This window comes from Homo sapiens, chromosome 1 (genome assembly GCF_000001405.40).
Source record: "Homo sapiens chromosome 1, GRCh38.p14 Primary Assembly".
NCBI classification, from domain to species: Eukaryota; Metazoa; Chordata; class Mammalia; order Primates; family Hominidae; genus Homo; species Homo sapiens.
Genome location: NC_000001.11, coordinates 17286031 through 17296189, shown reverse-complemented (window position 1 = coordinate 17296189; position 10159 = coordinate 17286031). Strand labels below are relative to the sequence as shown.

Here is a 10159-nt window from a genome sequence, read left to right as displayed (position 1 = left end):
GGGAAGGAAAGAAGCGAGTAAAGGGTCTGTGAATGACCTAGTTACCACCTGTGAGTAACTGAAGATCACCCCCCTGAGGAGTGCTAGAAAGTAGTGTGAAGCCCATGCCTCAGAGTTAGCCCAAGGAGCAAGGGAACTGGGGCATTTATACTCCCACTTCCTTTTGTCATTTGCTGAGGGCTGCTCTGGGTGGTATTAGTTCCCTGGCCATTTGGTCAGCAGGCTCTGGTGGTCAGAGAAGGCCTCAGGCAAACAGTACAGGTGCCGGCACTTGGAGGCCGGGTCTCTTTGAGCTGAAGGAGGGATTGTAGGAGGAGTGGGTGGGCACACATGGCATCTTCTACAGGCTAGGGGAGGCTTAACACTCCTTCAAGAAGCAGAAGACAGCTGGGAACACAATCGCCTGAAACATGCACATGGAATTTTCTGTGTACAGTTGGATGGATTTATGGACCCCTGGACCCCACCTGGGGACCCAAGTTTAAGATTCTTGGCTTGAATCTTCCTCTGGTGACTGGTCCTTCCTCTTTCCCCCATGCCCATGCACCTGTGCTCCCTGGGAAATGGGCAAGACTTCATTGACACAGCTGCCACCCACCCACATGTGCCCAGGGACTTTTCCAGAGAGAGGCGGCTCAGTGATGGCATCCTGGTGTGGTCCCCACTGTGCAACAACCTGCTCTTCCCCAAGCTTCCAGCAGCTGGCCCCCTGCCAACCCACCCGCAGCGCCCCCACCGTGGGTTGCTCAGTCCTCTGCAATCTGCCCACTGGAGGCCAGACCTCCTCTTTGTCCTGTCAGTGTGAACAGTGTGGAGTAACTGGATTAATTCACATACATATGCATTCATGATTGCCTTTGTATCTTTTAAAAGTGTGCATCTTTTAAAATTGCAAAATACACATCTGGAGGAGTGTGTAAACATACGTGCATATATGGGATAATACTAAATACCGTGTAAACACCACCCAGGTTAAGAAATAGAAAGTCTTTAGTACTCTTTTTTTTTTTTTTTTTTTTTTGAGACGGAGTCTTGCTCTATCGCCCAGGCTGGAGTGCAGTGGCACGATCTCGGCTCACTGCAAGCTCTGCCTCCCAGGTTCACACCATTCTTCTGCCTCAGCCTCCTGCGTAGCTGGGACTACAGGCTCCCACCACCACACCCGGCTAATTTTTTTGTATTTCTTAGTAGAGATGGGATTTCACCGTGTTAGCCAGGATGGTCTCGATCTCCTGACCTCGTGATCCACCCGCCTGGGCCTCCCAAAGTGCTGGGATTACAGGCGTGAGCCACCTTTGGGGACATCTCCCTGACTACATCCCCCCGCCCCCAGGACTAACAGTTACGCGAACTTTTGTGATCATCATTCCCTTGCATTTATGGTTTGTACTTTATTGTTGTTGTTGTTGTTTTAGAGACAGGGTCTTGCTCTGTCGCCCAGGCTGGAGGGCAGTAGTAGTGCAATCACAGCTCACTCCAGCCTTGCACTCCTGGACTCATCCTCCCAACTCAGCCTCCTGAGTAGCTGGGAGTACAGGCACACACTATCATGATCGCTAATTTATTTTATTTTATTCTTTGTAGAGACAGGGTCCCACTATGTTGCCCACTCTGGCCTCAAACTCCCGGCTTCAAGTGATCCTCCCACGTTGGCCTCCCAAAGCGCTGAGATTAAGGGTCAAGTGCAGTGGTTACTGTTTAGTTTTGCCTGTTTTTGTCTTTATGTGAACGAAAGCACACTTTATTCCTTTGTGACTTGCTTCTTTCGCTCACCATTGTGTTTGTGAAATTTATCCATGTTGATGTATGTTGGAGGCCAAAGGAGTGAGGGTCGTGATCAACTCAGTATACCACTGGAGGCTGTGTGAGTAAACAGCAAGCTGTGCTCATGAAAGCAGGATGCTGGCAAACTGACAAACTGCGTCTGTCACCCAGAAGGACCGCCAAGGGCGGTCACAACCCAGGCACAAGTGTTTCCTGTGATTAGGTGTAATTGAAGCCTGCTAGTAATGATGTGAACCTGTGATCAATTAAGCAGCTGACCAGTCGTTGCCTCCTCCTCCCTGCTCTTTCTACCCAATAAATGAGAAGGGCTGTGGAAGCTCGGGGATTGCCTTTGCTCACGAGAAGCAGGGAGCTCTCTTCTTCTTCCCTGGTTCCCCTTCCTTTATAATAGTTTCTTTTGTCTTAGGTTTTCATTTCTACGTTCATCCCTTCGTTCAGTCTCGTAATGACGGTCTCAAGCAGTAACAGTAGTAGCTGCTGTAGTGATGGTCTCAAGCAGTAGCAGTGGCGGTCAGCCACAGATGTGTGAGTCATAAATTGTTCATCACTCTCTAATATTCCATTGTATGAATAGACAACAATTTAGTTATTTGTTCTACTGGTGATGGGCACTGTTTCTAGTTTTTGGATAACATGACCAATGTTGCTATGGATATTCATGTCTCCTGGGGCAGAACTGCAAGGGTTTCTCTAGGTATTACCTAGGAGTCGAATTTCTAGCATTGGGTATAGGCATTTTCAACTTCACTGAATAGCACAAACTGTTTTTCAGGGCTAATGCCAATTTCCTTCCCATCAGCAATTGTGAGGGGTCTAGCTCTTCCACATCCTTGCTCCCGGTTCTATTTTGTATATTTATTTTTTTCCTAAGTGGTGAGCATGTAATAGTATACCACTGAGGTTTTAATTTGAATTTCCCCGATAACTAATTAGGTTGAATACCTTTTCTGTTGGATTGTTTATCTACTTCTTTTTCTTATGTTTATTGAATGGTAGGAGTTATTTGTACATCTTAGATACTGGTTCACAAAGAACAAAATGATAAAAAGGAAAGAATGATAAATGTAACTATTTTAATATATTAAATATATGTAATATAATTAATATATTAAAAGTAAGAGCTTCTGGTTTTTAAAAGAGTAGAAATAACTGTGGTTAACAGAGTAGAAATATAAACCACAAACTGGGAGAAAATATGTTTGTAACACATGCAAACGACGAATGATCAGTATATAGGATTAATAAATAACTTCTATCATTCAATAATAAAATGTCTTGCCTTCTGTTTTGTGTAGTTGGTCTATTTGTCTCTGCATAAGTTCTATATTGTCTTAATTACTGTGGCTTTATAATAAGTCTTGATATCTGGTAGAGCAAGTTCTCTTATCTTTCATCTTCAAGGGTGACTTAGCTATTCTTGGCTCTTTGCACTTCTATATAAATTTTAGAATCACCTTATAAATGTCCTTCCCTTCCCTTCCCTTCCCTCCCCTTCCCCATTCCCCTCCCTCCCCTCCCACATTTCCCTCCCCTCCCCTCCCCTCTCAAGTGCATGCTCTCACATGTGCACACACACATACACGCACCCTGTGGAGATTCTGACTGGATTTACACTGATTCGTAGGTCTTGCAGAGAACTGAAATCTTTTTAATATTGAGCCTTTCAATCTATGAATATGGCGTATCTCTCCATTAATTAGATCTCCTCTAATGTTTTTTCAATACAGTTGTATAGTATGCTCCATAAGGTTTTTGCACATCTTTTGTTAGATATGCTTTGTTTTTTACTTTTTGATGCTCTTATAAATGGCACATTTCAAATTTGCCATTTTCTATTTCTTTTTAGTATATAGAAATGTAGTTGGGCCAGGTGTGGTGACTCATACCTGTAATCCCAGCACTCTGGGAGACCAAGGCGGGAGGATTGCTTGAGGCCAGGAGTTTGCAATCAGCTGGGGCAACATGCGATATCCTGTCTCTACAAAAAAAAAAAAAAAAAAAAAAAAAATAGCCAGGCATGGTGGCACACACCTGTAGTCCCAGCTACTTGGGAGACTTAGGTGGGGGAATCACTCGAGCCCAGGAGGTCGAGGCTACAGTACATTGTGACTGAGCCATTACATTCCAGCCTAGGTGACAGAGCAAGACCCTGTCCCACAAGAAAAAAAAATACAATTGATTTTTGTATATTGGTTTTATAGTGACAGCCTCGCTAAACCCTCTTATGAATTCTTTTACTTTGTAGATTCTTTTGGATTTTCTGTATATATAATAATTCCTTTCTAATCTTATACCTCAATGGCAAGAACCTTCTGTTCAATGCTGATTAACAGTTATGATAATGGGTATTCTTATTCTGATCCTAGAAGGAATGGTTTCAATACTTTATCATTAAGAATAATTTTTGATGTGAGTTTCTTATAGATCAGTAGTTCTCAAACTTCAGTGGCACTAGAATTACCTGAAGGGCTTATTGAAACACAGACTGCTGCTCCCCCAGCCTCCAGAGTTTCTGATTCAGAAGGTGTGGGTGGGCCTGAGGACTTCCATTTTGGACACGCTCCCTGGTAATGCTGATAATGCTAATGCTGGTCTGGGGACCACACTTTGAGAATCACTATTGTACCTTTTTTTTTCTGAGACAGAATCTTGCTCTGTCACCCAGGCTGCAGTGCAGTGGCGTGATCTTGGCTCACTGCAACCTCCGCCTCTTGAGTTCAAGCAATCCTCCTGTCTCAGCCTCCTGAGTAGCTGGGATTGCAGGCACGTGCCATCATGCCCCACTGATTTTTGTATTTTTAGTAGAGACAAGGTTTCACCATGTTGCCCAGGCTGGTCTTAAACTCCTGACCTCAAACGATCCACCCACCTCAGCCTCCCAAATTGCTGGGATTACAGGAGTGAGCTACCACACCCAGCCTATAGCTATTCTTTATGGGGTTAAAGAAGTTTCTTTTTATTCTTAAGTTTTGCTTAAAAATCATAAATGATGATTTTATTAACTTTTTTCTGATTTATTGAGATGATCATGTAAATTTTTTCTTTGATCTATTAACCTGTTGAATTGATTTTCTAAGATGAAACATGCATTCCTGGGATCAATTTATTCTGATCTGATATTGTATAATCTGATATTGTATCATTTTTGAATTGAGTTTGCTAATAGTTTTGTTTAGAATTTTTGCATTTATGGGTTTATTGTTATGTTCGTAGGTTTTCTTTCTCATTCTGTTCTTGTCAAGCACAGCTAGCAAACTCAGGTTACGTGCTACAAAACAGAAGCTCTTACAGTTATTATTATGGCTTTACAATTGTACTTACCATACATTGTTGCTACTCTCCGTTTGCCCTGCTTCTCTACTAACCTATGAGCTTCCTAAAGGCAGATTCCATATCTGCTCACCCACTGCTGTATCCCCAGAATCTGCTGCTGAGCTGGACACATAGTAGGGAAAATTGTGCCCATGTAAAATAGGTGTGAGGATTAAGTAGCTACCCTGGAGAGGATGAAGAAGGCCCTAAGCTTGCTGGGGATAGAAAATGAAGAAATAAACACTTGTTAGGTTCTTGCTGTCTGCCAGGTACTGCTGTAGTCCTCAAACAACCCGTGAAGGTAAGCATTATTCCCATTTTACAGATGAGCAAATGGAGGCTCAACCATAGGAAATCTCCCATTAAATTTGGTCTTGCAACTGCTTCTTGGCCTTTTGGCTAAGAGCAAATGTAGAATTTGCTCTTGCAAGGTGGTTGAGCACACTGACCACTCCACGTCCCTTTATAAAGGTCCATGTATGACGGGAATCATTTTGGCATGCTGCCTTCCTTCTGATAATGAGAATTAGGTGGTTGACTCTGGTTCCCTTCTTGCAAGGGCTACTGGGAAGCTCCAATCCTAATGATAGTTTGGTTCTCATGGTCATATATTTGTTTGTCCTTTTCCATGGGTTTTATTTTCTGGATTTTTTTTTCTGTTTTGGTGTATTATTATTATTATTATTATTATTTCAAGATAACCTATCCTGGGTTTCAGCGATTCTCCTGCCTCAGCCTCCTGAATAGCTGGGATTACAGGCGCCCGCCACCACACCCGGCTAATTTTTGTATTTTTAGTAGAATGGGGTTTCACCATGTTTGCCAGGCCCGTCTCAAACTCCTGACCTTAACTGATCCACCTGCCTTAGCCTCCCAAGGTGCTGGGCTTACAGGCATGAGCCACCGTGTCTGGCCTTGGTGTCTTAATGTAAAAAATTTTTTTAAATCATCAGTTTGTTGAATGTACTCTTAATATATGTTGCCTCAAATCCCTAGAGGAATTTGGCAAAGGAATTAAAAAAAAAAAAAACACCAGTAAGTAAATGTGCTGATTGAGCTGTCCAGTAGACTCCTGGGGAGCGTTAGTCACATAAACACTTCTGAATGATGCCCTGCCCAGCCCTGCTCAGGTCCCTGCTTGCTGGAGCACTGGAAACTGCCCAAGGCAGCTATAATTTCTGTGATTGAGATGTTTTGAGTTAAGATAATTGGCATTGAGATGCAGTTTCTCAGAATGCCAAGACTTATTTAAAGACCCAAGAAGAGTTCAAAAAAGAAACTATGGAGCTAGCTTTGGTGCTGGCTTCCAGCTCTTGAAAGACAGCATTGCTTCAGAGAGCCAGCTGAGCGGTAGTTAGTTTCCATCTGCTGGTCCAGGACAGACACATCCACCAAGCACCCACACCGGCAACGTTCAGCCTGGGTTTCTGAGTGTGCATTCCTTTCCAGGAACTCGGAAGGAGACCCTTGCCCCCTGACATCCTATCAGGAACCATCTCAAATCCTCACCACCAACATAACAATAAAATGCTGTGAACCAGGAGACCCAGGCGTGGGGCCCAGAACTGGGGGGAAGCACTTGGGGGAAGAGGGATCCCAGCCCTTTTCTTGCCCGAAGCCTCGAAAAAACTTGCCCACTGCTTTGACTCATCTGTGAGTCCTGGGGGAGTGGCCACTGGCCCATCATGGTGGGCAAATGGGGGATACACGTACCTGCTTTGTTACCAAAGCTTTGCTGTAGCCAGGCTTTTGTTTGGTTTTGTTTTTTTAGATGGAGTCTCACTCTGTCACCCAGGCTGGAGTGCAGTGGCGCGATCTCAGCTCGCTGCAAGCTCCGCCTCCTGGGTTCACACCATTCTCCTGCCTCAGCCTCCTGAGTAGCTGGGACTACAGGCATGAGCCACCACGCCCGACTAATTTTTTGTGTTTTTAGTAGAAATGGGATTTCACCGCGTTAGCCAGGATGATCTCGATCTCCTGACCTTGTGATCCACCCGCCTTGGCCTCCCAAAGTGCTGGGATTACAGGTGTGAGCCACCACGCCCAGCCAGAGTATACAGGTTTTCATTCCATAATTATTCTTTTAGTCATTCAGAAACATTATAAAAAACTTGTCTTGTATTAATGATTTACTTCATAATAAATCAATGAGTAAATAAATCTCAAACTCTGGGAGGGACTCTTGTCCCTGCCTTTTCCCTGTTCCCCACGTCCTGTCCAGTAAGCCCGTCCCTTCCGGTTTCCCCACAAAGAGTGAATTGAATGTGGTGGCTTCTCTTCGGCTGAACTAGCTGCCACCTTCTGACTTGTCTCCCTGCTCCCATCCCTCACCCCAAAATTTCATGCTAAGCTTTTCCCCATGCAGAGCTTTCTTTATTATTATTATTTTGAGATGGAATCTTGCTCTGTCTCACCCAAGCTGGAGTACAGTGGTGCGATCTCGGCTCACTGCAACCTCTGCCTCCCTGGTTCAAGAGATTCTCCTGCTTCAGTCTCCCAACTAGCTGGGATTACAGGTGCGAGCCACCACACCCAGCTAATTTTTTTTTTTGAGACGGAATCTCGCTTCATCACCAGGCTGGAGTGCAGTGGCACGATCTCAGCTCACTGCAACCTCTGCCTCCCAGGTTCAAGCAATTCTCCTGCCTCAGCCTCCAGAGTAGCTGGGACCACAGGCACGTGCAACCACGCCCAGCTAATTTTTTGTATTTTTAGTAGAGATGGGGTTTCACCATGTTAGCCAGGATGGTGTTGATCTCCTGATCTCGTGATCCGCCCACCTCGGCCTCCCAAAGTGCTGGGATTACAGGCGTGAGCCACCACGCCCAGCCAAATTTTTGTATTTTTAGTAAAGACGGGGTTTCAGCATGTTGGCCAGGCTGGTCTTGAACTCCTGACCTCAGGTGGTCTGCCCGCCTGGCCTTCCAAAGTGTTGCTGTGTCCTGGCTACACACCTGAGTCACCGAGTTGCTTTGTGTAACATCCCAATGTCCAGACAGAATCTCTGATGGTGGGGGCCTGGCCCTGCTAGGTTTTCATGAGAGCCTTCCAGGTGATTCTAATGTGTAGATGGGTTGAGAACCACTGGTGTGACTGGGTACAGAGGTCACGTGTCTAGGCTCAAATTTGTTTCCCCCACTTAATAGCTCTGTGACCAGGGCAAGCGCTTTCATGTGGCTGTGCCTCAGTTTCCCTGTCTATAAAGTGAGAACAATAGTAATAGCTGCCTGCTGGCATGCTGTGAGGGCTATATCAGATGGTGCTCAGGAAGCATTCAGTACCTGCTGGCACAATGCTTGCACTTGCCGTCATTATGCTGGAGGGGACTTGGGATGACAGTGACTTTGTAGGAAGTGATAGGTCCCATGGACTCTGTCCAGCCATCCAGAATTCCTTTCCAGCCATCCTCACCCAGGGCCCTCCTTCCTGGGCTGCTGGAAGCCGCAGGAGGCCACAGAGTTGGGCAATGCCTGCGGAAGCCCTGCAGCTACTTATTCCAAATTCTGAATAAAGCATGAGTCAGGGCCACCCAGAGCTGCAAATCCCCACAAAAAAGACAGGCTTTCTTGTCAGCTTCTTGTCCAGGCAGGAGCCTCCACCTGGGCCAGTCCTACACAGCTGAGACAAGCAGGGTATGATCTGAGAGTAGCCAAGACAGCTGTCCTGTCCCTACCTCCCTCATTTCACCTCTGGGTCTCAAAGGGTCTTTGTCATCTATTAAAGCGCGGAGATTAGGAGTGTTCTACACAGCAGATGCTTGAGGAAGGGCTGGGGGATGTTATGTAACAGCAGTCATCATTTACTGAGCACTTACTATGCACCATGCACTGTGCTATTGACACTAAGTATATCTTGTGAGTTACCCTACTTCATCCCCATGCAAGCTCTATGAAGCGGCAGTTATTTTGCCCATTTTATGGAGGGGGAAACTGAGGCTCACCCAAGTTATGTGCTCAGCTAGAGAGTACGAGTTCAGCATCTGATGGTCCAACTCCGAGGGGTTTCAGGCAGCCAGCTGGGAGTAGGTGAGTCGGTTGGGTATCTTCCCTTATCCTCAGGCCTGGTCAAGGTTGCCCACTGTGTTAGGGGAACCACAATAGGGTGAAGGGAAATTTCCCTACGAGAACCCAAGCCTCATCCTAGTCTCCCTGGGCTTTCCAGGCCTGAGAGCCAGGCCCCGGAAGGGACCAGGCAGTGTGGCATGGGCAGCTGTCTGGGAAGGCAGTGGCCAGCGGAGGTGACCCCTGACCCCAGGCCTGATGGAGGCAGCTTCCAGTGCTTTTTGGAGCCACCCAGCCTGCATCCATGGGATCCCAGATCTCAGCCCAGCGGAGGGTCCAGAACTGAACACCAGTCCCAGAGTGAGGGTTCATTGACTGCATCTTTCTGCTGCTGCCTCTGTGGATTTCAGAGGGGACCGGGTATGGTCTCACTCTTGGAGGCCAGAAACGGCAGTCAGGGCCTGGTTGCTTGTAGTCAGCAGAAAAATGGTCCTCCAAAGATTTCCACGTTCGAGTCTGCAGAACTCGTGAGTATATGACCTTCTTAGTAAAAGGGAATGAAGGTTGCAGATTGAATGAAGTTCACTCATCAGCTGACCTAGAGAGGGTGGGTGAGCCTTGCTTATCCAGATGAGCCCAGTGTCATCGCAAGGGTCCTTACAAGTGGAAGAAGGAAGCAGAAGAATCCATCAGAGGAAGATACAAAAATGTTACTATGCTGCTGGCCTTGAAGATGGAGGAAAAGCCCAGAAGCCAAGGGGTGTAGGCAGCCTCTAGGAGCTGGCAAAGGCAAGAAAAAGGATTCTTCCCTAGAGCCCAGAAGGAACCAGCCCTTCCAAGATGTTGACTTTAGCTCAGTGAGACCCATGTGTGTGGCAGACGCACCGCCAGCAATAGCTAAACTGGAGCATACCCTGAGAATGACCTTACAGTCTCTGATGAATGTGCATTTGGGATTCCCAGCTATGGAAAGTGCCAACCCGGAGATTCATTTCTTATCTATGAGGAACATTGGGACCCACCACTTATCTCGTAGAATGCAGGCTGTACAGGGGATTGAG

The 10159-nt window shown here is 46.2% G+C and overlaps 1 annotated feature.

Moving 5' to 3' along the window:
• Positions 565–734: a silencer, noted in NCBI's record as "fragment chr1:17621951-17622120 (GRCh37/hg19 assembly coordinates)". NCBI's record gives its function as "represses an EF-1alpha promoter that drives an FKBP-Casp9 reporter gene in an ReSE screen in K562 erythroleukemia cells {active_cell/tissue: K562}" and the evidence as "EXISTENCE:reporter gene assay evidence [ECO:0000049][PMID:32094911]".